Raw genomic sequence first — 23,019 nt, forward strand, 5'->3', positions numbered from 1 at the left:
GCAGGGAGCAGTAACCTACTGGCTGTGGCAGCAGAGGCTTGAGTACAACCCAGGGAGAGACGAAGGAAGGGGCTAGTAGCTCAGGGAAAGCACAGCACCCCAACTAGCCCTTTTGGGGTTCTCCTGATCCTAGAAGGAAGGAACTGGGGACTCCCAAGCCTCCTGGGTTTGGGCTTTGCATTATGGTGTGTCGGGGGCCTTGAGGAGATTCTCCCTTGACAAGCAGAGAAAAGACCTGCAGCTCCTCACTGTAGGGCCAGGCCTGGCCCTTCACTGGGTGCCAGAGCCCAACTAGGCCCAGGCTACAGTCATAGGCGAGGGGGTCGACAGGCCTCCGACCCTTACCTGGGCTGGTTGCACAGGTGATCTTGGCATTGTCGAGCCACCTGGGGGCTGTAGAATCAGAGAAGCAGAAGCTGCGGGCGCAGGTGCGGCGTCTGGTGCAGGAGAACCAGTGGCTGCGTGAGGAGCTGGCGGGGACACAGCAGAAGCTGCAGCGCAGTGAGCAGGCCGTGGCCCAGCTCGAGGAGGAGAAGCAGCACTTGCTGTTCATGAGCCAGATCCGCAAGTTGGATGAAGACGCCTCCCCTAACGTGAGCTCCTACCATGGTCACTGTTGCCCAGCAAGGAGGCCTGGGAGCAGGGAGGGGCAGCATGGAGCAGATTCGGCTCCACCCCAGCCCATGGACACCCCGGCTGCCCTGTGCCTCCTTCCCTGATGCTCATCCTGTCTTCCTTCCCAGGAGGAGAAGGGGGACGTCCCCAAAGACACACTGGATGACCTGTTCCCCAATGAGGATGAGCAGAGCCCAGGTGCGGATGGGCAGTTCTGGAGTGGGGGAAGGAAAGGTTGTGTGAACTCTTGGTCCTTGGGACCGAGTGGCTGCCATGTTCCTTCCTGCCTCACTTCTGATCATGACATCCTAGTGTGTTAGAGCTTCAAGAACAGTTGTACGTGCTGCTGCTTCTCACATCCCCCCAGCTCTGTGGTGAGCAGACATCACAATTAGCTGTGGAGTCACCAGCCTGGCTTCCAGTGCTGCTCTGCCACTAGCTTCCCTGACCCTTGGGAGAGTTCTCTTCCTCTCCGAATCACCTCTGAAGGAGGCACATGCAGACAGCCACAATGGGGCCAGTGCCTGCTTTGCTGATGGTACTGGTTATGCATCGGGGCCTCCACTCTGTACACAGGGACACAGGCTCAGAGGTTAGGCAGCTTGCCCCAGGACACAGAGCCTGAAGTACTGGAGCTGGGCCTCTACCCCCTCTTTCTATGGGGTAACTAGACCCATTCTATAAATGGGGAAACTGAGAAAGAGTGGTTAGTGACTTGCCCAGGGCCATGTGTCAAGTGGCTCAAAGGCACAGCTGGCATGTGCCATCCCAGTCCAGTGGGCAGATGGTACATCTGACCTCCTGCCCTTGGCCCTGCAGCCCCTAGCCCAGGAGGAGGGGATGTGTCTGGTCAGCATGGGGGCTACGAGATCCCGGCCCGGCTCCGCACCCTGCACAACCTGGTGATCCAATACGCCTCACAGGGCCGCTACGAGGTAGCTGTGCCACTCTGCAAGCAGGCACTCGAAGACCTGGAGAAGACGTCAGGCCACGACCACCCTGACGTTGCCACCATGCTGAACATCCTGGCACTGGTCTATCGGTGAGGACTCTCTGGGGGTGCCCAAATTCTTCTGGAAGGCTCCAGCCCTGGATCACTAACCCTTGGTGCCTGCTGTGGGCCAGGACTCGTGGCCCACCTGCGTGGAGCTGGGCTACAGATGCAAGTAAAACTGTCTAGTGTAAGAGAGAGGCTTGGCCAGAACTGGGGAGGGACTGCACATGAGGACTCCAGGGGTCCTGGGGAGTCCACACAGCTTCTCCAGGCACCAAGGCTGGAGGAGGGGCTTTGCCAGAAAGTGAGTTTGCCCAAACACAAGAGGGCTAGAAAAGGTTCCCATGGCAAAAAGCCAGCATGAGCAAAGGCACTGGGACCTGGAGAGCAGGACACGCTAAAGGGGCAGCAGGAGAGCCATGTGGCGCCCAGGAATGCTAGGCACCAGGCAGTCGGTGGGACCCCAGCACTGCGCACCCCAGCCAATTGTGAGAAAACTGCCTACAGCCCTTGGAGCTTGGAGAGCAGGAGCTGAGCAGGTCTCCCCACACTCTGGGTCTCACTCTGTCATACACACTCAGTGAGTACAGGAGTGACCACAGGGATTGCAGACCATTGGGGAGGGCCTTGAGCTGGAGGACAGCCCTGACCATGCTCCTACCTGCTCCCAGGGATCAGAACAAGTACAAGGAGGCTGCCCACCTGCTCAATGATGCTCTGGCCATCCGGGAGAAAACACTGGGCAAGGACCACCCAGCCGTGAGTGAGGGTTGGGTGGGAGGTGGGGGCTGTGCCCCATCCCCTGCAGGTCCCAGAGTCCTGCAGGGCCTGAGTCAAGAAGCTTCCGTTCTCCCACCTCCAGGTGGCTGCGACACTAAACAACCTGGCAGTCCTGTATGGCAAGAGGGGCAAGTACAAGGAGGCTGAGCCATTGTGCAAGCGGGCACTGGAGATCCGGGAGAAGGTGGGAACAGGCAGGGCTGGGCAGGCTGGGGGTCTGGGAGGCAGGGGCCCGGGCAGCCCTGAGCCCAACCCCTGGCTCCCTCTCCCATCCCAGGTCCTGGGCAAGTTTCACCCAGATGTGGCCAAGCAGCTCAGCAACCTGGCCCTGCTGTGCCAGAACCAGGGCAAAGCTGAGGAGGTGGAATATTACTATCGGCGGGCACTGGAGATCTATGCTACACGCCTCGGGCCCGATGACCCCAATGTGGCCAAGACCAAGAACAACCTGGTACCTTGGGGCTGAGAGGAGCTGGAGGATGGGAAGGAGGGAGGCAGGGATGAGGTTGGGGAAGAAGGAGAGAAAAAGGCTTGGCTGCATGCATCCCGCTCACTCTCTGGGTCTCCCGCTTCCAGGCTTCCTGCTACCTGAAGCAGGGCAAGTACCAGGATGCGGAGACCTTGTACAAGGAGATCCTCACCCGCGCTCATGAGAAAGAGTTTGGCTCTGTCAATGGTGAGTGCGTGGTCACCAGGTGCCTCTAGCCCATCCATCCCAGGCCCACTCTGCCATCAGCACCCAGGACAAATCCCTCAGCAGGGCAGGCCCTCAGGCTTTGGCCTGGCTGGTCACCAGCCTCACCCTCAGATGGTGCCCAGCCACCTGTGCTCACGTTTGCACACATGAGCACACACCCAACTCACGCAGCCCCCTTGGCCTGCTAGGGCCTCACACGCCTTTGCATCCCCCTTCTCCACTGGCGATTCTTGCTCACCTTGAGGGCCTGCCCCAGTGTCTCCCACTCTGGGAAACCACCTCTGGCCCCGGATGGTCAGTCATCTGCTCCTGAGTCCCTCGGAGCCTGGCCCATCATTCAGGCCTAGCACATGTCTTGGGCTGTGGCCTGAGGTGCAAGGGTCTGTTCTGCTCATCTCTGTCCAGAAGAGGGTCAGCAGTGTTTTGGGTCTTACTCTTGTTCATGCATTCAACGAAGCCCAACCGTGGTCTCCCCTCCCCTGACCCCAGTCCTGTGTCCAGCCCAACCAGGTGAGACCTATATGGTAGGCTGGTGACAGTCCCCTTTCTCTCCCCAGGGGACAACAAGCCCATCTGGATGCACGCAGAGGAGCGGGAGGAAAGCAAGGTAGCTCTGTGGGGCAGGCTGGGCGGTTGTCAGGGGAGGCTGGGATGTGCAGAGGGGGGCCTGCTCTCACTTCTTGTGACCATTCTTTCCTCCAGGATAAGCGCCGGGACAGCGCCCCCTATGGGGAATACGGCAGCTGGTACAAGGCCTGTAAAGTAGACAGGTGAGTGGGGCGGGGCTGGGCTGGGGAGCAGGGCACGGCAGGGCGGGCTCCACATTCCATACTCTCACCCCCAACACACCCCTCCTCTGCTGCTCATCTGGCAAGGCCCAACTCACAGGTCACCTGTCCCAAGAAGGCTCTGTCTCCCAATTCTCAGCCTAATTCTCTGGCTCTGGGTCTCCCAGCTTTTGGTCCTGGTGACAACATCCCATGAGGGCCCTGGGGCCAGGTCCCCAGCCCTGGGGTGATTTCCCCAGGACAGAAGAGGCTGGGTGGGCCCAGCACAGGGCTTGACATGGGAAGGAATGGATTCTGGCTACCCCGGAGGTCCATGCTTCCTCAGGGCCCACTGTGGGCTGGGTGCCAGGATGGGCCCTGGGTCTGGGGGAACATGGAGTTTGAGACTGTCCCATCCACAGCCCCACAGTCAACACCACCCTGCGCAGCTTGGGGGCCCTATACCGGCGCCAGGGCAAGCTGGAAGCCGCGCACACACTAGAGGACTGTGCCAGCCGTAACCGCAAGCAGGTGGGGCTCCATGCAGGAGGGGGTGGGCAGACACCTGTGTGGCCCTGGGTGTGGTCCATTCACTGCCTGATGCCCCTGCCCCTCCCTCAGGGTTTGGACCCCGCAAGCCAGACCAAGGTGGTAGAACTGCTGAAAGATGGCAGTGGCAGGCGGGGAGACCGCCGCAGCAGCCGAGACATGGCTGGGGGTGCCGGGCCTCGGTCTGAGTCTGACCTCGAGGACGTGGGACCTACAGCTGAGTGGAATGGGGTGAGTCCGGGGCCTGGGCCGGGTCGGGCTGGGAGCCTAGGTGGCCAGCGGGGCCTAGAGGCAAGCCTGTCCACCTGCAGGATGGCAGTGGCTCCTTGAGGCGCAGCGGTTCCTTTGGGAAACTCCGGGATGCCCTGAGGCGCAGCAGTGAGATGCTGGTAAAGAAGCTGCAGGGGGGCACCCCCCAGGAGCCCCCTAACCCCAGGTGAGCCCCCCACCAAGGTGAGCCTCAAGAACCACCCAGCAACCCCGGATGAGCTCCTGACCCAGAGTGTGCCCCACTGACCCCAGGCAACCTCCCCATCCCTCTCAGGCTCCACCACCCACCAGTCTGTTCCCTCCCCAGCCCCACCCTTCTCCCTGCCCCCATCTCCCGTGAGTTCCTCCTTGGGCAAATCCCAGGCTGTCCTTTTCCCTCAGGATGAAGCGGGCCAGTTCCCTCAACTTCCTCAACAAGAGCGTGGAAGAGCCGACCCAGGTAGGGGCAGGCGGGTGTCTGGGCACTGGGCAGCTGCGGCCGGGGCTGCATGCGTGCTGCCAAGCTTCCCTCCAGCATGCCTCTTCATCCAGCAACAGTTCCTGGCTCTGTCTCAGGCCTACTTTGGGCTGGACAACGGGGAGACACGAGGGGAACCCAGCCTCTCCTGGGGGTGGACGTGTAAACGGCCAGTGCTAACACCGTCACTGTGGAGATGGACGGGAGTGTCAGGGCACCAGGGTGTGGCCTTGGGTCAGAACTGCCATTGCCTCTGCCCAGCTCAGGGATTCCGGCTGCCTCTGCCAGGTCAGACCCCTTCAGGCCAGGGAGGCACAGACTGGCAGCAGCACAGGGCTGAGCCACCTGCCCCCTCTGCCCACAGCCTGGAGGCACAGGTCTCTCTGACAGCCGCACTCTCAGCTCCAGCTCCATGGACCTCTCCCGACGAAGCTCCCTGGTGGGCTAATGCTGAAGGGGCAGCCAGTCACCAGAGCGCCCACCTGGCACACCCCCCTCACCCCAGCCCTGCGCATGGGCCTGCTGCTTGTCCCGCCTGTCTCTCCCACAGCCCCTGTCTTTTCTGTTCAATCTCAGGGTAACCTTCTCCCTTGTCATCTCAGCCTGAGCCCTGGAGGCTGGGCCTGCCCACTCCAGCTCCATCCCTTATTTATTCCTTCCAGCAGGGCCCTCTTCCCTAGGTTCGGGCCAGCAGGAGGTGCCGGCTGGAGTCTCCACCATAGACTCAGTGGCCTGGCCTCCCCAGACCCCAGAGCCAAGAACACTAAGCACTCGCCGGCCCTTCGGCACCCTCGCCCTCCCTCCCGACTCAACCCGGCCGTTGCTTCTGTATATAGAGAAATAAGTTATTGGCCGCGCGCCTCCCTTCAGTCCACGGTACTACCCGGGCCTCCCCTCGTCCCTCTTCTAGTGGTACCGCCCAGGCCTTAATCACCCCCATTCCGTGCGGTGGTATCTCCCAGGCTCTACATTCTCGGGAGCGGCGCCTCCCAAGGGGGTCCTGGGACCTTCTCGCGCTCCTCCTGGCCTCTGAGGGATGCGTCCTACCCGCGCCATCGCCCCGTGGCCCAGGACGGGGACCTCCCCTTAGTCCGTCCTCCCACCGCCGGGCCCTGCCCCGCATCCCGGCCTTATGCACTGCCCCTCCCACCCGGCCCCGCCCAGGCACGGCCGACCCCGCCCCGGGCACCGCCCACCGAGCCATCCTGCCTCGCCTCCCCCCACGCCTGCAGCTTCTCGCGAGGGGCGGCGACGGTCCCCTGGTGGCAGGAGGGGCTCCCCCTGTTGCGGGTGAGGCGGCTGCTCTCATATTTTCAGATGTTGCTGTAGAAATAAAGACGGTTTAAATCTGAGCTGGGCTTGTTTTGAGACGGAGGTCGGGGGCCCCCAGCGTCTCTAGACTGGGGTGGAGCCGGGAAGGGTCGTGCGTGAGTGGGGGACAGTGTGTCTCGCTCAACCGCTGTCCGCGCAGCTGGGCCCAGATATTGTGCCCCACCCCGGAATTGCGTGAGGGGCCCACAAGTCAGGCTTTCCCTAAAACACTCACTTGTGGGGTTCTGGAGACCGCGGGCTCTTATGAGCTCTGCTCCTCACAAAGTTTTTGACCTTGAGTGAGTTTCCCGAGACTCAGTTTTTTCATCTATGAAATGCGGGTGATGACGCGCGGCTGCGAGTTAGGACTGCCCAGTACACGAAGAACCCTGGACAAATGTACTTTTATTAGTCTTACTAGAACCCACATTCTCATTTAATGTTCACAACGTGGGTATTGGGAGGGCAAGGATGACTACCTCCGTCAGACAGATGTGAAACGTGCCAAGCCCAGCCCTAAATTGAGCTTTCTAAACACCGAGTCGCGGTCAGGCTTTCCAGCACTGTCCTCAAGCCTGAGTGCGTCCGGAGTGCAAACTACAAGCCCCAGAAGGCAATGCGCCAGCAGTGATGGGAGTGGGCGCGGAGGCGCGGGCTCCCCGACTACGCCTGCGCAGCGGGGCTGAGTTGGAGAACGTCTTAGACTACAAGTTCCGGGAATCAGCGCGGCGAGGCCTGAGAAGAAGACGTTTGCGCCTGCGCGTCGCGGGCGGGGCCTCTGGGGCGGAGCGGCCACCATCTTGGAACGGGAGGCGGAGCAGAGTCGACTGGGAGCGACCGAGCGGGCCGCCGCCGCCGCCATGAACCCCGAATAGTGAGTGAGCCCCGCCCGCGCCGTCCAGCGCAGCCTCGATCCCGAATACAGGGCTGTACGCTTACCGGGGTTGTCTGGCCCGGGTCAGGACTGTGCGGCGCCCCCACATCCGGGTCCCTCTTCCGCTGACCCCCCCCCACATCCGGGTTCTGCCCCTCCCCCCAGGGGCCCCAGGACCCCGGCTCAAAACCCCGAGCCCTCGCACCCGGGGCCCAGACGTGGCGACCCCCAGGGGCAGCTCTTGGAGCTCGAGACATCGGTCCTACCAGGCCTTATCGGTCAGATGACCCCGCAGTCCCGGTCACTTCAGGCCTCAGTTTCCCCACCTGCTGCTTGACAACTGTCCCGGAGTTTTGGAGCCCGTCTTGATAGTTTCTGGTCTCGGGTTCAGGCTTGGGCCCTTTAGGTCGGGCAGTGAATCCCTCTACCCTTCTCTTTCTCCTGAAGCCCGGCTCCTGGGGCCGGCCCAGAAGCTAGCCAACTACGCGGGAGGCCCCGAAGCGCCGCTTGGGTCGCGTCTCCCGCAGGTCCTCTCTTCCGGGGCTGCCTCCTACCCTTTGCCTGGGTCGCGCTGTCCTGTCGCTCCCGCCGGTCCGTCCTTTCCCGCCCTCTCCTCGCTTTTGCTCAGGCCCCCAACGCCACCGTCACACCCCTTCCCTTGGCTGTCACACTGCCTGTGAAGTTTAGATGAATATGGAATTTGCTCTCCCCCTTCCTGTGGGATTCTCTGGTCCTCAAACTCTCCTCACTCTTGGTCACTCCCCCTGCGGGTAGGTGGCCCACATCTCATGCCCAGGACTAATAGTTTTCCCCAAGTATCAGTTATCTTCTTCCTTTTCTGCCACTTCCTTTTTCTACTCCACATCCAGGTCTCAGATTTCCTTGGGGAAGGGTGAAGCTCTGAGCTGGATTGGGAGGGGAACAGAGAAGGGAACCAGCAGGCTCTCGAAGGGACTTTGGAGTCTGAGAAACCTGGTTTGAGTCTTAAAGCGATAAACTGTGTAAGTTAGGGCAAGTCACTTCCCTTCTCTGGCCTCTGGTTTCCTCATTAGTTGACAATGACAAAACTGACTTCATTGAACTGTTGTGAAGATTAAATGAGATGATGCATTTAAAGTACTTCACACAGGGTCCGTCCACAGGTTGGAACTCAAGTATATTAAATGTGATTACCTTTTGCCTTTTTTTTTTTTTATTTTGAGACAGGGTCTCTCTCTGTCACCCAGGCTGGAGTGCAGTGGCGTGACGATGGCTCACTGCAGTCTCCAACTCTTGGGCTGAAGCAGTCCTCCTGCCTTGTCCTCCTGAGTAGCTGGGAATACAGAGGCACACCACCACACCTGGCACATTTTTTAATTTTTTGTAAAGACAGGGTCTCGATATGTTTCCCAGCCTGATCTCAAACTCCTGGGCTTAAATGATTCTCGTGCCTCGGGCTTCCAAAGTGTTGGGATTACAGGTGTCAGTCACTGCACCCAGCCTTAAGTGCAATTTTCACTGCAACTTGACCACCTCTTCCTGGTGACTTCATAACAGGTTTTTGTTGTTGTTGTTGTTGTTGTTGTTGTTGTTGTTGTTGTTGTTGTCTCCAAAGAGATGGGGTTAGCCGGGTGCGGTGGCTCAGGCCTGTAATCCCAGGACTTTGGGAGGCCGAGGTGGGTGGATCACGAGGTCAGGAGATCGAGACCATCCTGGCCAACATGGTGAAATCCCGTCTCTACTAAAAATACAAAAATTAGCTAGTCATGGTGGCGCATGCCTGTAATCCCAGCCACTCTGGAGGGTGAGACAGGAGAATCACTTGAACCAGGGAGTCGGACGTTGCAGTGAGCCGAGATCGTGCCACTGCACTCCAGCCTGGTGAGAGAGCGAGACTCTGTCTCGAAAAAACAAAAGAAAAGAGAGACGGGGTTGTGCTGCATCACCCAGGCTGGTCATACACTCCTAGGCTCCAAGGATCCTCCTCCTGTTTCAGCCTCCCCAGTAGCTGGAACCACAGGCACACGCCACAGCACCCAGCCATCAGTCTCTCTACGTGGGTTTTCAACTTAATAGGTTCTAGGCTGGGCCCTGGCTTCTACTTCTGGGGCCTTCTCTGCCAAGCTAGGCACACGCAGGGCATGTACTGGGGATTCCCTAAATAGCTCCTACTGGACCAAACCATGAAGTTTCAGAAATCAGGTTAGGATACCCAGCTCTGTTGCCTTGGCAGGTCACGTGTCTTGATTTCTTTCTCCATAAAGTGAGAATTTAGACTCAGCAAGCTGAGAGCCCTTTGGGCTAGCTGTTTGTGGAGGGAGGCATCAGCCCTCCCTGACCGGGACTGTTGGGAAGATCTGGTGAGCACCATAGTATTCTAAACCAAGGGATGGCCAGGCGCAGTGGCTCACCCCTGTAATCCCAGCACTTTCAGAGGCCAAGGCAGGTGAATCAATTGAACCCGGGAGTTTGAGACCAGCCTGGGCAACATAGTGAGACCCCATCTCTACAAAAAATGAAAAGATTAGCCAGGGGCCGGGTGTGGTGGCTCACACCTGTAATCCCAGCACTTTGGGAGGCCAAGGCAGGTGGATCACCTGAGGTCAGGAGTTCGAGACCAGCCTGGCCAACATGGTGAAACCCTGTCTCTACTAAAAATACAAAACTTAGACAAGCATGGTGGCAGGTGCCTGTAATCCCAGCTACTCGGGAGGCCGAGGCAGGAGAATTGCTTGAACCCGGCAGACAGAGGTTGCAGTGAGCCAAGATCGCGCCATTGCACTCCAGCCTGGGCAACAAGAGCAAAACTCAGTCTCAAAAAAAAAAAAAAAAAAAAAAAAAATTAGCTAGAAGTGGTGGTGGTGGTGGACACCTGAAGTCCCAGCTACGCAGGAAGCTGAGGTGGGAAGATCACTTTGAGCCCGCAAGGTAGAGGCTGCAATGAGCCGTGATCACTTCAGTGCACTGTAGCCTGGGTGACAGAGTGAGACCTTATTGCTAAAAAAAAAATAAAAATAAACCAAGGGATGCCTCATGGGGTGGGGGAATCCTGTAATTGTGACTCCAGGATGATGGTAGGTGGGCTCCCTGCCTCCCTTCACGCCTTCCCATCTTCTCTCTCCAGTGACTACCTGTTTAAGCTGCTTTTGATTGGCGACTCAGGCGTGGGCAAGTCATGCCTGCTCCTGCGGTTTGCTGTGAGTAAGAAGCCTCCCATACCATCCACCTGGGGTCCTGACTGGCAGCTGGGGGGAGAAGGGACAACACAGAGCACAGTAGTTGCAAGATCTGGGAACCAGGGGTGAAGCTGTAAGACCTGCCACCAGCACATCTGCCCTGAACAAGACAGGGCTGGCCAGCTGAGTGCTGGGAATTGGGGCTTGGTGGTTCGGAGACCCAGCTGGGGCAGGGAACTGGAGGGAGGCTCTCCAAGTGGGCCTCACCTCATTAACTCCCATGATTTCATTGGCCCCTGAACTTTCAGGATGACACGTACACAGAGAGCTACATCAGCACCATCGGGGTGGACTTCAAGATCCGAACCATCGAGCTGGATGGCAAAACTATCAAACTTCAGATCGTGAGTGTCGCTCTTCCCAAAATCCCCAGTACAGAGGTATCCACCTTGGGAGGGAAGGGACTCTGGGACTCTGGACCTCAGCTGACCTGCTCCTCTGCCTACTGTCTCCTAGTGGGACACAGCGGGCCAGGAACGGTTCCGGACCATCACTTCCAGCTACTACCGGGGGGCTCATGGCATCATCGTGGTGTATGACGTCACTGACCAGGTACTCCTGGACTAGCCATCCTCAGCTTGGCCTCCTTAGCCTTAGGTCTTTGACTCTTCTTTTTCCTCCTTCCATCCTCTCTTTCCTGATGCTTCCTGGAAAGGACACTATTTGTCTGCTTACAGGAACTAACTAGGAAAAAGAAAAAAAATAGGTGACTGTACTTGGACTCATTTCACAAGGAGGGAAACAGCCACAGAAATGGATCCTCTGAAGGCCCTGCTGCAGGTTCTGGCAGGACAAGGCCTCACACCTTCCCTCCCCACCAAGCCAAACTTGCCACCTTATTGTAGACCTTCTGGGCACCTTTGTGTTGTGGGAGTTTAGTCAGGCGGTTGGCTGCTATGCTGGGCCTGTGGCTTCCTGTGTGAAGACACAGTGCAGGGGGACAATTAGAGGGCCTTAGACAAAGAAGCAGGGAAGCTTGAGCTCTGGGCCCAATGTGAGCAGAGATCCAGAAGCTCTGCCTCCAGCAGCAGCGTTAGTCCCATGTGACTAGCAGTGGTGGTAGCAAGGGCTGGAAATGGTTCCATGAAACCTTATAGTTTACAGAACCTGGCCCAGCCCTCAGATTGCCTCTGATGCTCAGAAGAGGTCTGTGTTCCCATCGCACAGGTAAGGAGCTGGGCTCAGGATGGTGAGGTGACTTGCCGAGGGTCCTTCAGCTAGTCCGGTGGCAGAGGCAGAAAGCCTGGATGGCTCATTCCACCTGCTTTGTTTTTTCTACCAAATGTTGTTGCTTAACAGGGCCAATCCCTGAAGATAAGGAGAAGCTTAAATCAGCCGTGGGCCGGGAAGAGTCCCTGTCTGAGGAGCAGCCGGGCTCTTTAGCTCACCAGGGACTCATGATGTCCCCAGCTCTGGACGAGCTGTGGGGAAGCTACATACCACCCAGACAAGTTACCAGGGCCCACCTGACTGCCATATATCCAGTGATCTTATTTCAGCACATTGACCTCTCGTGGCTTTGGACACTGCTCTCTTCTCTCTCCTTGAAAAGTGGACCATCCCCCGCTCCTCAGTCTCCTGCAGCACTCGATTCTCTATTGTCAGTGTCTATTTGCTGGTCTGTCCAGTGCTGCCTCCCATCACCCTGTGTTTGGTGCTTCCCCACTGCCCTGGACTCTCCTCCTTACTCTTGTGCATGGCTGCGGCCACTCTGTGGTTTGCTTCTGCCTTGTGTTCTGTGATTCCTGCATCTAACAGCCGTGGCTGTGGCTTCCCTCCTCTGTCCATGTCTACACTGGCACTTTGTGTCTGTATTAATCCTGATCTTCATGATCTTCTCTAGTAAACTAAATGGTGAGGTTTGTGTTTTCTAGATGAGGAAACTTGCTTGGAGAGGTGTTAAGTAACTTGCCACCGGTCTCACGGGAAGGGCAAAGCCAGTTTTGGAGGGCTCTTGGCTTTTGAGCACACCCTTTCCCACCCTCAAGCAGCCTCTGCAGAACTCAGATGTCCAGCGCTGGCCTCACTGTCTCTCCCCAAACCAGCGCCTCTATCCCCATTTTTAATATTTTTATTTATTTTAAGACATGGGGTCTCACTCTGTCACCCAGACTGCAGTGCAGTGGTGTGATCATAGCTCATTGTAACCTCAACCTCCTGGGCTTAAGGGATCCTCCTGCTTCAGTCTCCTAAGTCACTGGGACTATAGACACACACCACCATGCCCCAGCTGCATCCCCATCTTTGTGACACAATCCTTGTCAGCCTGACCAGAAAACTCTTCCCTCCCCCATCCAGTCAGTCTCGAGTCCCCTCTATTCTCTCCCCATCATCTTTCTGAAATCTGTCCCCTCATAATAATAGCAGTGATGAGGATAATAGCAGCTCTTGCCAATTAAGCACTTGTTATGAGACAAGCCTGTGTTCATTCTCTTCATGCTCACAATCAGCCCTTCTAGGAGGTACTGTTTATAGAAATGAGGAAACTGAGGCTCAGAGTGGTCAGGTAACATACCTGGGGTCACACAGTAAATGGCTGAGCCAGGCCTTCAGCAGCAGTGGTCTGACTAAATCCTGTGTGCTTCCCTGGCTCAGTGCACGTTCTCTTCCCTGAGTTATTCCAGCCATTCCCAGTTGGTCTCTATCTTGCTATTCTGATCTGGGCTCTGCCTCCTGTCAGGACTAGCATAGGTGTGATCCTGTTGCTTCTGGCCTAAGAAACGCCCACTGGCTCCTGGTCTAAGTCCAAGACTTAGCCATGCTAAGACAGTCTGTGCTCTGGCCTCTCCCCAATCCCCCCTCTTTCCTCCCCTCTTCCCCCTCTCCCCTCTTGCCTTTCTCCTCCCCACTCCCCCATTCCCCCTCCCTGTCCCCCCTCCCTGTTGAGTGTCTGCATCCCAGCAACATTCCATTTCCTCCCATTCCCCAGACACACCATGCCCCTCCCGTTCAGTGACCTGGCACATGCTGGCTCCCCAGCTGGCACCTCTCCTGCACAAGGCCAGTTCCCACCTGCAGGCTTAGGTCCACTGTTGCTCCCACCTCAAGCAGAGGTGGTCTGGGGGCTCCCCAGCCCCTGCCTTCTAACCTGTTTTGCCCTTGTGTGTGGCCTGGTCTATTCATCTACTGTCCCGTGAATGTGTTAGGGCAGGGCCCAAGTATGATTTCCCCCTTTGTCCCCAGCACTTAGCACAGGACCCAACTTGGAACATGGCAAGAGGTCTAAGTTTGAGCCAGTGTGATATGACCAGGCTTCTGGCTCCTAAGGAGTATAAGTGGCCCTAGCTTGAGCACTTTCCTGAAAGTCCTGTCCTTTGTGTGTGGGGTAGGGGCGCAAGTGCTGGGAGAGTCTGAAGCCAAGTAATGAGGCTGTTGGTGCCAAAAGTAGGATGAATTTTAGGCTGTTCCCAGGATTCCTGTCTCCCCACAGGCCAGGGCCACCTCTGAGAGGACCCTCGAACTCCTGTGCTCCAAGGCTTCAAACCTTAAAGGGATTTTCAGGCCACGGTGGGAACTGTGGCTCTTGCGGACCCGTTACTCTCTGTTCCTATCTCCCGTCCGCTCTCTCTTTGCTTCTCACATGTGGTTAGGGCCTGCAAGTGTCTCAGGGAGAGAGACAGCTGCAGGGAGCAGAGCTGGCAGGCCCAAGTTGGGGCAGCTGTTGAGGTGTTGGGGCAGCTGGCAGGCTGCTGGGGCTGTTCTGGGTCTCGGATGGAAGAGGGCAGGGAGGAAGGTTCAGCCTGGAGCAGAGGGCTTCCTCTGCATCTCTGCATCGCTGAGCCCAGGACTTAAGGGGCCCGGAGCTGTACTGTTCCCCTCAGAGAAGGTCTTCTCCAGGCCTGGGGTAGGGGTGACAGTTGGGAGCAAAATAACTTTGGCCCCTGGCCCCCTTTAGGAATCCTACGCCAACGTGAAGCAGTGGCTGCAGGAGATTGACCGCTATGCCAGCGAGAACGTCAATAAGCTCCTGGTGGGCAACAAGAGCGACCTCACCACCAAGAAGGTGGTGGACAACACCACAGCCAAGGTAGCAGACGGGCCGGTCTGCCCGGGGTCGGGGCGCTGGGGCCTGCTGCCCCTCACCTGCTCTCCCCTCCTCTTCTCTCCCCTCCTCTTCTCTCCTCTCCCTTGTCAGGAGTTTGCAGACTCTCTGGGCATCCCCTTCTTGGAGACGAGCGCCAAGAATGCCACCAATGTCGAGCAGGCGTTCATGACCATGGCTGCTGAAATCAAAAAGCGGATGGGGCCTGGAGCAGCCTCTGGGGGCGAGCGGCCCAATCTCAAGATCGACAGCACCCCTGTAAAGCCGGCTGGCGGTGGCTGTTGCTAGGAGGGGCACATGGAGTGGGACAGGAGGGGGCACCTTCTCCAGATGATGTCCCTGGAGGGGGCAGGAGGTACCTCCCTCTCCCTCTCCTGGGGCATTTGAGTCTGTGGCTTTGGGGTGTCCTGGGCTCCCCATCTCCTTCTGGCCCATCTGCCTGCTGCCCTGAGCCCCGGTTCTGTCAGGGTCCCTAAGGGAGGACACTCAGGGCCTGTGGCCAGGCAGGGCGGAGGCCTGCTGTGCTGTTGCCTCTAGGTGACTTTCCAAGATGCCCCCCTACACACCTTTCTTTGGAACGAGGGCTCTTCTGTCGGTGTCCCTCCCACCCCCATGTATGCTGCACTGGGTTCTCTCCTTCTTCTTCCTGCTGTCCTGCCCAAGAACTGAGGGTCTCCCCGGCCTCTACTGCCCTGGCTGCAGTCAGTGCCCAGGGCGAGGAATGTGGCCAGGGGATCCAGGACCTGGGATCCAGGGCCCTGGGCTGGACCTCAGGACAGGCATGGAGGCCACAGGGGCCCAGCAGCCCACCCTTTCCTCTCCCCACTGCCTCCTCTCCCTTCCTACACTCCCAGCTCGAGCCGTCCAGCTGCGGTGGGATCTGAGTATATCTAGGGCGGGTGGGCGGGTAGCAGTGCTGGGCCTGTGTCTTGAGCCTGGAGGGAGTCTGCTCCTGCCGCCCTCTGCCCTGCCAGAGACAGACCCATGCGCTGCCTGCCCACCGTGCCCCTTTGTCCCCATGTCAGGCGGAGGCGGAAGGCCCACCGTGCCAGAGGCTGGGCACCAGCCTTAACCCTCACTCTGCTAGCACCTCCTCCCTTTCCCCAAGGTAGCACATCTGGCTCACTCCCCACTCCGTCTCTGGAGCCCACCAGGGAAGGCCCTCATCCCCTGCCGCTACTTCTCTGGGGAATGTGGGTTCCATCCAGGATTGGGGGCCTCTCTGCTCACCCACTCTGCACCCAGGATCCTAGTCCCCTGCCCTCTGGCACAGCTGCTTCCTGCAAGAAAGCAAGTCTTTGGTCTCCCTGAGAAGCCATGTCCCTCGTGCTGTCTCTTGCCTGTCCCACCTGTGCCCTGCCCTCCAGCTTGTATTTAAGTCCCTGGGCTGCCCCCTTGGGGTGCCCCCCGCTCCCAGGTTCCCCTCTGGTGTCATGTCAGGCATTTTGCAAGGAAAAGCCACTTGGGGAAAGATGGAAAAGGACAAAAAAAATTAATAAATTTCCATTGGCCCTCGGGTGAGCTGAGGGTTTTTGCAAGGAAGTTGTGGTGGCCAAGTGTGGTCTGTGGTCTAAGCCCAGCCTTGGGGTGGGGGGATGGAACTGGAACCCTGGGCTTGGTGGGGTGCACGGGGGTCCTGGCTTGGTTTCTGTGTCCTAAGGCTGCTGGCAAAAGCCCTTGACCCCGTTTCCTGAGGCCAGGAAAGCTGCTTGTGCTTCTGTGGTCTGTCCCCAAGGGCCCAGCACCGTTCTGTCAGGGAAAGAGGCAGGCGGCCATCAGCTCATACCTGGCGTGCCGCCGCCAACTCCCGCGGGGCACACGGCAGAGGTGTGGGGTCGCGCAGCCGCTGAGAGGGCCCCCACTGCACCTGGCCCAACCTCCTTCAGCGCCCCCCAAAACCCCACTGCTCCCATTCAGCCCCTGTCCTGGCGTCATTGTGTGTCCCAGCCAGGTGCTTCTGCCGTCTCCGACAGTGACAAGTGCCTCGCACTTCAGCCTTTGCCCTGAGCGCCCGCCCGAGGGGGCCGAGTGCGGCTGTGCCGGTGGCTGGAGTGCCGAGGGGTGCGGGGTGCCGGGGGCGGCCGCGTCTACGCTGTCCGGAGGGTGAACGGCCGCGGGCTTGTCGGGGCTGGGGGTGGCGCCCGAGCCGGGCGGGCAGACGAGGGGCCCGCGGAGACCCAGCCCCGCCCGAGGCCGCTCGCGCGGCGGCCCCGCCCCCGGCTCCGCCCCGCCGGCTTCGCGGGCTGGAGAGCGAGGGAGCCGCGGGCGAGGGATCGCAGGATGAGCGATCGGGGCCCGGGCAGCCGGCAGCGGACGCGCCCCCCGAGCCCACCGGCCCGCGCCCCGCGCCCCCCACGGCCCCGCGGTCCCGGTCCCGGCCGCATCACCCACGTCCCCCGAGCCCCACGGGCCATGCCCGGCCGGCCCTAAGCGCGGGCCGGGGGGCGTCCCCTTGCGCCCGGGCCCCGCGCTGGCGCCCCCCGGGCCGCCGCCCGGCGCGGGGGCCATGGCGTTCACCTTCGCCGCGTTCTGCTACATGCTCACCCTGGTGCTGTGCGCCTCCCTCATCTTCTTTGTCATCTGGCACGTAAGGCCGGGCTGGGGCTGGGGCTGGGGGCGGGGTGGGGGGCAGGGGCCACGCGGAGCTGGAGGGACCCAGGGCGGGTGGTCTCAGAGCCCAGGGGAAACTTGCTATCCCCCAGCCGTCGGCTTGTCGGCTTCGCCCCCATTAACACCCCCCGTGGTCGGCTTTCTTCCCGGGGCCCCCCTTCCTCCGCCGCCCCCGCCTGTCTGTGTGTATGTCAGTCGGTCTCTGACCCCCTCCTCTGCCCTCGTCCTCTGCTCCCATGCAGCCCGTGAGGTGGGGGGTGGAATTCTGGCATTTTTGTTGCTTTATCTTCTATGTCCCCCCCCACCACCATCCAGCCGCCTCCATTAGTCCGTCGGGCAGTTTGTCTGTCTGCTGCCCCCCCCCCCCCGCCTTTGTGGGTTTTTCCAGCCAGAGTGATGGAGCTGGTTGCTATGGCAACTGCATCTGTTTACAGGACCCACAGATCTCAGAGTCCATTAACCCTTTGCCTTCCCAGCCCCCTCCCTGACCAAGCAGCAGTTGGCTCTCATCAGCCCCCAGAGACCTAGCCCCCACCACCGGCTCACCTTGGGTTTCCCTACCCCTCCTGTTGGGGGCTTCCCAGCCCCCCAGGTTTCCTCTCCATTTTCCAGCTTCCCTCCTCTTCCTGTCCCCCTTCCCCTTTGTCTCTCACATACCCCTTGGTCTGTCCCTCGCCCTGGCCTAGCCTCACACCTGGTTCTTCAAAATGTCCATTCCTCATCCTGCATCCGACCCATCGCTTCCCCCAGGCTCCCTCCTCCTCCCCTCCCGCTCCTCTCCTCCAGGGCCTCCTCTGCCTGGCTCCCGTCCCCTCACTACAGAACTATCAATCAGCCTCCAGCTGGTTGTTGGGGGCCCCTGGCCCCACTTTACTGCCCTCCGTCCCCACCCCCACCCAAACCCCGTGCCTGTTTCTGTAACAGCCTGCCCAGCTCGGCCCTGGCTGGCTCAGCTCAGCATCCTCTGCTCACACCTCCCGCGCACACCTCCCTGATTGTCATTCCCTTTCAGGGGTCCTCTTATCCCTCCCTCAATCCCATTTCCCATAGCCCTTCCCTCCTTCCTCCCGGTGCCTCACCTGCTTCTTTCCCGGGCTCTCCACTTCCTCTCTCCTTTCTCTTCCTGGGACCTGCCGCCTGCTCCATGGTTCCCCCTGCGCTCCCTTTGCCATCCCCTGCCACCTTGCTCTTTGACATCGGGAATCCATAGACTGAACCCCTACTGTGTGAAGAGTGAGCCCCCAAAGGCACCTCAGCACACACCCCAGCTCCAGCCCTGTCACTCCTTGGCCTGGCTCTGCTCTCTCTCTGGGTCTTGGTTGCTTTGTCTTTCCCCCTCTCCCCCGCACCCCGAGTTACTCTATTTTTCTTTCTGTGGGGTAGGGGCAGGAGGGCTAGGGTTCTAAGGACTGGAGGGAGCTGGGGGCCACAGGCTAGGGAATGCAGAGCTGACCAGCTCCTGGGAGAAGGGCTCCTGGAATTCAAGAAGCCTCTTTTTGGGGCCTTCCCCACCCAGGGCCTTCCCACAGCCCCTGTGGGGTCCCTGTCCTCAGGGGATCCTCAGCAGTTTATCCACCACGCCTGCATTGATGCTTCCCAAAGATCAGGCTCTGGGTGGCTTTGAGGGGGTCAAGGATGAATAAAACCCAGACTTTGCCCTTGTGGAGTGCCCAGGCTGGGAGGAAAGGCCCAAGCTTTGAAGAAATGTCTTTGTTCATTCAACAGATATTGATTGAGCACCTGTGTGAGGTACTCTGTCCACTCAGCCATTTAGCTGGACAATCTTAGCAAGTCATTTGTCCCAAGTCTGGTTCCTCGCCGGCAAAGTGGACCTGTGCACATCAGAGTGCCTAGTGCGGCCTGCTGGGTGGTAGGGGATAGGAGGCGTGGTCCTCAGTCCACAGCTGCTAAGAACTAGACTCTTAACAGGGCGGGACCCCAGATCCCACTCCAGACCCTCAGCCCAGGCCCCAGTGGTTCCTAGGCAACCCTGGCGGTGAGTGACGCGTGTCAGCTGTCACCATGGGGGATTGTTTGTTCCGGGGGGCTGAGTCAGCGCCAGGCAGCCTGGGGGGTGGGAGGGGTGACGCCCGCCGCCTGCTGGTGGTGCCAGCTCTGGGGTACAGACGGCACCCTTCTGCTCCCTGTGGACCCTGTTGCTGTGCGTGCCAAGTGGCGCTGCCCAGAGTCAATGGGGAGCTGGGCGGGGAGGGGGGATGATCCAGATGGCCTCAGCTCCCTCCAGGAAGCCCATGTTCTTTCTCTCTGAGCCGTCTGGGGCCTGGGATGCCTGGGGGTGGTGGGCCTGCTGCCTCATCCTAGGGCTGGAGCCGACAGGAGGGGACCCCAGCAGGCTCCTCTGCCAGCCCATTTCCCCCAAGTCACCTGTCAGCTCCTTCCCATCCCATCATCCCCTCAAACACTTGCTCCCCTGGAGAGTTTCCACCCGTGAGGACACTGCCGTCTGCCAGACACCCCAACACCTGAAGCCACCTTAGATTTCTGCCTTCACTTCTCAGCCATTTGAACCCTCTGGAGTCTGGCTCCTAAAGAGCTGTAGAATCCCATGCACGCCTTCCGTCTCCACTACAACTCTCCTCACTCAGACCACCATCAGCCCTGCCCCTAACCCTCCAAACCGTCCCCTTGCTGGTCTGGCCTGAGTATGACACAGTGGTTAGGAATTTTAACTCTGGAGTCACACTGGGTTAGAATCCACTAACCAGCCGTGTGGCCCTGGACAAGTCACTTAACCTGCCTCAGCTTCCTCATCTGCAAAACAGACATGAAAATAAAACTAGTACCTAAGTCATAAGGTTGTTAAGAATTAAATGAGTGAATCCACATACCGGCCAGGAGAAGCACCACTTAGATCTCAGCTGTGACTGTCAGTGAGCTCGGATTTCCTGCCCCACCAATCCTGAGACATGGACCAATCCTAAGACATGGACCTGACCACCCCACTCTGCTGCTGTGTACTCTTCAATGCCTCCCCCCAAAATTTTTGTGTTAAAGTAAGTCCAAACTCCTGCTCTGGCCTCACAGGGCGCCCATGTCTGGCTCTGCTGAATTCTCCAGCTCCTCTTCCACCACTCTCTCTTTTCTTCCTGCTCGCTGCGCTGTCACGCCAGCCCCATGAAACCCGCAGCCTCCTGAATGTCTCCTGACCTTTCACCCCTCTGCCATTGCACCTTCTACTGCTTGGACTGCATTTCCCCCATTTGCTCACCAACACCTACTCCGAGTCCAGCCTGAACTCCCTCACCCCCCACACAGGGTTAAGCGCCCACTCCAGGTCCTCCCTGTACCCCAAACCCTGATCACCTGGAAGGCAGAGTGATCATCCCTCTGGGCCTGGGTTCCTCCTGGGCAGGGGCTGCATCCCAGGCCTCTGGAGCCCCAGTGCTCAGCACAGGGCCTGAGACTTGGCAGGGCAGACACGAAGCCATGTCTTGGGATGTTTTGGAAGGGGGTGTAGTGGACATGGGCCTGAACTGGGCATCCAGACGCTAGGGTTCCCTTCTGGACTGTTGTAATGACCTTGGACCAGGCCCTGCTCCTCCCTGGACCTCGGTTTCTCCACCTTTGCAACAAGCTCCACCTGGCTGGTCCTCTTCAGTAAACTATCCCACAGAAGGACTTGGGGGAAGGCCATAAGCTGCTGCCCCAACCCTGACGGGCACACGCCCCTCCCCCAGATCATAGCCTTTGATGAGCTGCGGACCGACTTCAAGAACCCCATCGACCAGGGGAACCCTGCGCGGGCAGTAAGTGATACATGTGCTGTGCCGAGGTGTGTCCGTCCGTCTGTCTTTCCATCTGTCGTGGGCTGGGGGTGGGAGACGGGAAGACGGGGGTGGGGTGGGGGGCCTACGGCCATGCCCCCTTCCTCTCTGTCTCCGCCCCCAGCAAACACCTGGCGCGGGCTCAGGGCTGAGTTCCTCTTGGCGGGGCGGTGGTTGCCAGGCTCTGGGCCGTTGCCATGGAGACGCGGGTGAAGGCCCTTCCATGGTGACGGTCGCCATGGGGACGGCGCGGCTGCTTCCCGGCCGTGCCGACAGTGCCGCAGAGATCGCTCTGGCGCCCCCTGGCGGCCACATGTGGAGCGGTGGGAGCTGCTCCAGTACCTGCTTCTCCGCCACCCCATCGCGGCCTTTTCCTTCCCCCAACAGCGCGAGCGTTTAAAAAACATCGAACGCATCTGCTGCCTCCTGAGGAAGGTCAGTGTCAGGGCTGGGGGCAGGAGGCTCCTAGCCCAGCGCTGCCCCCACTGTCTGTGGCCCAGAACCAGGCCTTCCCCTGCTTTGGGCCTGTTTGATCCACTCTACTTGGGAGGGAGTGGGAAGCCAGAGGCCTTTTAATCCCCAGAGGTCACGGTGGGTGGGCACCTCCCAAACCCCAGCTCCTCTCTGTCCCCTTGAAGGCTGGTCTGTCATAGCACCAGGCCGCTGACCTCTCACCCTCACTCCCCCAGCTGGTGGTCCCAGAATACTCCATCCACGGCCTCTTCTGTCTGATGTTTCTGTGTGCAGCAGAGTGGGTGACCCTGGGCCTCAACATCCCCCTCCTCTTCTACCACCTCTGGAGGTGAGGGTAGCAGCTGCCTTGGGGAGGCTGAGATGGGGAACAGGGGCAGGATGGGGGTGGGAGTCCTGATGGCAGACACTCAGGCCCCTGTCTGCCCCAGGTACTTCCACCGTCCTGCAGATGGCTCTGAGGTCATGTATGATGCGGTCTCCATCATGAATGCTGACATTCTCAACTACTGCCAGAAGGAGTCCTGGTGCAAACTTGCCTTCTACCTGCTCTCCTTCTTCTATTACCTGTACAGGTGAGGCCTTGCCCACAGCAGTCAGAACTCAGGGAAGGGATGTCCCAGCATCACGCTTCCAATCCCAAGTTCCTGCCTTTTGCCCCTGAGGACTGAGGGCAGCCCAGGGTGTGACCAGGTGGGCATCTGGGTGGCTGTGTGTGTGCAGGGCTAGGCTCACTGGCTCATCTTCCTACAGTATGGTTTATACGTTGGTGAGTTTCTAAGGGGGAAGCCGGCCAGGGAGCGAGCCCAGAACGGACCGGACGCCTGTGCACCCCCAGCCCTGCCCCTTGGCCGCAGAGGCCTCAGCCCTGGGGAGGGAGGGGGCACTGGTGCCCCCAGCCTCTCCAACCCCCAAACTGCTGCTGCGGGGAACCCCCCCCACCCCGCCTTCAGAGCCCTCCCCCTTGGACTAGAGCGGCTGGGCAGAGCTCTAAACAGGGGCAGGGGCTCCTCTGCCAGCCTGTGGGCATGGCAGTCATTCCTGGAAGGGGCAGGACCTCCGGCCTTGTCCATTTCGGGGGAAACTTGGGCCCTGCCAAGGGGCAGAGCTTGACCCTGGAAATTCTGGGCCATCCCCCTCCACCCCCACCCTGAGGCTCCCCCTGCAGGTGGGGGGGTACCCGCACCGGGAATGAGCAGGCTCAGCAGGGGGGCAGCCCCACCCCTAGTCTGCCCTCCCCTCTCCCCCAGGCTCTTTCTCCAGCCCTGTCTCCATCTGCCCCAACCTCAGCCCACCTTGTCTCTTGGACCTATTTTCTATGTCGCCTGGAGGAGTCCGGCACCCCCTCCCCGGCCATTTGTGACAAAATATGAATAAACTACTGCAAATATGTGGGCCCCGGTTCTGCTCCTGGAAAGCTTGAAGAGGAGATGGGGGCCGATTACAGGGACTGTATAGGGGGCAGCCCTAAGCTGAATCCCCAGCCTGGCTTGTCTCACCCCACTAGCCCACAGACCCTGCTGGAGCCCCCCAGAGGGATCAGACGCCTTCCAGGTCCCCTCAGCAGCCTCCTTCCATCTTC

The 23,019-nt window shown here is 59.4% G+C and overlaps 3 protein-coding genes and 3 long non-coding RNA genes across 19 annotated transcripts in view, besides 10 other annotated features; 3 read left to right on the top strand and 3 right to left on the bottom strand.

The window, feature by feature from the left end:
* Positions 1 to 4,307, bottom strand: part of KLC2-AS1 (KLC2 antisense RNA 1) — a 6,120-nt gene extending 1,813 nt beyond the window's left edge. Inside the window, exons 1-5 of the long non-coding RNA NR_186327.1 lie at positions 3,973 to 4,307; positions 3,764 to 3,841; positions 3,325 to 3,483; positions 2,312 to 2,501; positions 346 to 633 (exon numbers count right to left, since the gene is read on the bottom strand). This is a non-coding gene — a long non-coding RNA (KLC2 antisense RNA 1). The remainder of the gene's footprint in view (positions 1 to 345; positions 634 to 2,311; positions 2,502 to 3,324; positions 3,484 to 3,763; positions 3,842 to 3,972) is intronic.
* The window catches only part of KLC2 (kinesin light chain 2), a 23,923-nt gene extending 17,442 nt beyond the window's left edge, over positions 1 to 6,481 (top strand). For 6 of the 11 annotated variants that reach the window (XM_047427414.1, NM_001134775.2, NM_022822.3 and 3 more), the window contains exons 3-16: positions 363 to 593; positions 744 to 813; positions 1,435 to 1,657; positions 2,281 to 2,368; positions 2,472 to 2,573; positions 2,667 to 2,840; positions 2,966 to 3,065; positions 3,644 to 3,693; positions 3,789 to 3,856; positions 4,276 to 4,384; positions 4,475 to 4,633; positions 4,714 to 4,838; positions 5,054 to 5,111; positions 5,494 to 6,481. In XM_047427414.1, coding sequence (XP_047283370.1) covers positions 363 to 593; positions 744 to 813; positions 1,435 to 1,657; positions 2,281 to 2,368; positions 2,472 to 2,573; positions 2,667 to 2,840; positions 2,966 to 3,065; positions 3,644 to 3,693; positions 3,789 to 3,856; positions 4,276 to 4,384; positions 4,475 to 4,633; positions 4,714 to 4,838; positions 5,054 to 5,111; positions 5,494 to 5,577 — 1,641 coding nt within the window. In that variant the 3' untranslated portion in view covers positions 5,578 to 6,481. The remainder of the gene's footprint in view (positions 1 to 362; positions 594 to 743; positions 814 to 1,434; positions 1,658 to 2,280; positions 2,369 to 2,471; positions 2,574 to 2,666; positions 2,841 to 2,965; positions 3,066 to 3,643; positions 3,694 to 3,788; positions 3,857 to 4,275; positions 4,385 to 4,474; positions 4,634 to 4,713; positions 4,839 to 5,053; positions 5,112 to 5,493) is intronic. The other 5 variants (XM_024448657.1, XM_005274184.1, XM_047427415.1 and 2 more) reach the window with 2 other exon arrangements.
* Positions 4,830 to 5,712: an enhancer, noted in NCBI's record as "H3K27ac-H3K4me1 hESC enhancer chr11:66033680-66034562 (GRCh37/hg19 assembly coordinates)". NCBI's record gives its function as "activates a minimal SCP1, AML or CMV promoter by ChIP-STARR-seq in naive H9 embryonic stem cells {active_cell/tissue: H9 hESC(naive)}" and the evidence as "EXISTENCE:reporter gene assay evidence [ECO:0000049][PMID:30033119]".
* Positions 5,969 to 6,018: a silencer, noted in NCBI's record as "silent region_3583". NCBI's record gives its function as "represses an Ori minimal core promoter by ATAC-STARR-seq in GM12878 lymphoblastoid cells {active_cell/tissue: GM12878}" and the evidence as "EXISTENCE:reporter gene assay evidence [ECO:0000049][PMID:35858748]".
* Positions 6,039 to 6,358: a silencer, noted in NCBI's record as "silent region_3584". NCBI's record gives its function as "represses an Ori minimal core promoter by ATAC-STARR-seq in GM12878 lymphoblastoid cells {active_cell/tissue: GM12878}" and the evidence as "EXISTENCE:reporter gene assay evidence [ECO:0000049][PMID:35858748]".
* On the bottom strand, positions 6,170 to 7,032 carry KLC2-AS2 (KLC2 antisense RNA 2). The gene is made up of 3 exons (NR_186342.1): positions 6,920 to 7,032; positions 6,676 to 6,829; positions 6,170 to 6,452 (listed from the first exon to the last, which is right to left on the bottom strand). It is a non-coding gene; the product is annotated as a KLC2 antisense RNA 2 (long non-coding RNA).
* Positions 6,469 to 6,518: an enhancer, noted in NCBI's record as "active region_5039". NCBI's record gives its function as "activates an Ori minimal core promoter by ATAC-STARR-seq in GM12878 lymphoblastoid cells {active_cell/tissue: GM12878}" and the evidence as "EXISTENCE:reporter gene assay evidence [ECO:0000049][PMID:35858748]".
* Positions 6,819 to 6,868: an enhancer, noted in NCBI's record as "active region_5040". NCBI's record gives its function as "activates an Ori minimal core promoter by ATAC-STARR-seq in GM12878 lymphoblastoid cells {active_cell/tissue: GM12878}" and the evidence as "EXISTENCE:reporter gene assay evidence [ECO:0000049][PMID:35858748]".
* Positions 6,989 to 7,318: an enhancer, noted in NCBI's record as "active region_5041". NCBI's record gives its function as "activates an Ori minimal core promoter by ATAC-STARR-seq in GM12878 lymphoblastoid cells {active_cell/tissue: GM12878}" and the evidence as "EXISTENCE:reporter gene assay evidence [ECO:0000049][PMID:35858748]".
* Positions 7,260 to 16,113, top strand: RAB1B (RAB1B, member RAS oncogene family). The gene is made up of 6 exons (NM_030981.3): positions 7,260 to 7,314; positions 10,418 to 10,490; positions 10,778 to 10,873; positions 10,986 to 11,081; positions 14,425 to 14,556; positions 14,665 to 16,113. The coding sequence occupies exons 1-6, from the start codon at positions 7,301 to 7,303 to the stop codon at positions 14,857 to 14,859; spliced, it is 606 nt and encodes a 201-aa protein (NP_112243.1). The 5' UTR covers positions 7,260 to 7,300; the 3' UTR covers positions 14,860 to 16,113.
* Positions 7,479 to 8,360: an enhancer, noted in NCBI's record as "H3K27ac-H3K4me1 hESC enhancer chr11:66036329-66037210 (GRCh37/hg19 assembly coordinates)". NCBI's record gives its function as "activates a minimal SCP1, AML or CMV promoter by ChIP-STARR-seq in primed H9 embryonic stem cells {active_cell/tissue: H9 hESC(primed)}" and the evidence as "EXISTENCE:reporter gene assay evidence [ECO:0000049][PMID:30033119]".
* Positions 10,507 to 11,706: an enhancer, noted in NCBI's record as "BRD4-independent group 4 enhancer chr11:66039357-66040556 (GRCh37/hg19 assembly coordinates)". NCBI's record gives its function as "activates an origin of replication core promoter dependent on BRD2, P300/CBP, MED14 and CDK7 cofactors, and independent of BRD4, by STARR-seq in HCT116 cells {active_cell/tissue: HCT116}" and the evidence as "EXISTENCE:reporter gene assay evidence [ECO:0000049][PMID:35650434]".
* On the bottom strand, positions 10,778 to 17,146 carry LOC107984340 (uncharacterized). Its single transcript, XR_001748274.1, has 2 exons — positions 17,116 to 17,146; positions 10,778 to 11,213 (listed from the first exon to the last, which is right to left on the bottom strand). It is a non-coding gene; the product is annotated as an uncharacterized LOC107984340 (long non-coding RNA).
* Positions 16,572 to 16,901: a silencer, noted in NCBI's record as "silent region_3585". NCBI's record gives its function as "represses an Ori minimal core promoter by ATAC-STARR-seq in GM12878 lymphoblastoid cells {active_cell/tissue: GM12878}" and the evidence as "EXISTENCE:reporter gene assay evidence [ECO:0000049][PMID:35858748]".
* Positions 16,796 to 22,827, top strand: CNIH2 (cornichon family AMPA receptor auxiliary protein 2). Of its 4 annotated transcripts, none has more exons than NR_073078.2 (6): positions 16,796 to 17,158; positions 20,880 to 20,974; positions 21,354 to 21,401; positions 21,656 to 21,768; positions 21,869 to 22,012; positions 22,191 to 22,827. NR_073078.2 is itself a non-coding variant. In NM_182553.3 (6 exons), the coding sequence occupies exons 1-6, from the start codon at positions 17,078 to 17,080 to the stop codon at positions 22,216 to 22,218; spliced, it is 483 nt and encodes a 160-aa protein (NP_872359.1). In that variant the 5' UTR covers positions 16,796 to 17,077; the 3' UTR covers positions 22,219 to 22,827. The 4 variants fall into 4 exon arrangements, 2 of the variants coding, with proteins under 2 accessions (NP_872359.1, XP_047282664.1); NR_073079.2 differs by having other exon boundaries at positions 16,796 to 17,154; positions 20,880 to 20,948; NM_182553.3 differs by having other exon boundaries at positions 20,880 to 20,948.
* Positions 21,067 to 21,570: an enhancer, noted in NCBI's record as "H3K4me1 hESC enhancer chr11:66049917-66050420 (GRCh37/hg19 assembly coordinates)". NCBI's record gives its function as "activates a minimal SCP1, AML or CMV promoter by ChIP-STARR-seq in naive H9 embryonic stem cells {active_cell/tissue: H9 hESC(naive)}" and the evidence as "EXISTENCE:reporter gene assay evidence [ECO:0000049][PMID:30033119]".
* Positions 22,828 to 23,019: the final 192 nt, after the last annotated feature.

Source organism: Homo sapiens, chromosome 11 (assembly GCF_000001405.40).
Source record: "Homo sapiens chromosome 11, GRCh38.p14 Primary Assembly".
NCBI classification, from domain to species: Eukaryota; Metazoa; Chordata; class Mammalia; order Primates; family Hominidae; genus Homo; species Homo sapiens.

Coding starts and splice junctions, on each gene's coding strand:
- RAB1B (NM_030981.3), top strand. Junction 10,491..10,777: donor GCCTGCTCCTGCGGTTTGCT/GTGAGTAAGAAG, acceptor CTGAACTTTCAG/GATGACACGTACACAGAGAG. Junction 10,874..10,985: donor AAACTATCAAACTTCAGATC/GTGAGTGTCGCT, acceptor ACTGTCTCCTAG/TGGGACACAGCGGGCCAGGA.
- CNIH2 (NM_182553.3), top strand. CDS start 17,078: ATGGCGTTCACCTTCGCCGCGTTCTGCTACATGCTCACCCTGGTGCTG. Junction 21,402..21,655: donor TCTGCTGCCTCCTGAGGAAG/GTCAGTGTCAGG, acceptor TCACTCCCCCAG/CTGGTGGTCCCAGAATACTC. Junction 22,013..22,190: donor TTCTTCTATTACCTGTACAG/GTGAGGCCTTGC, acceptor ATCTTCCTACAG/TATGGTTTATACGTTGGTGA.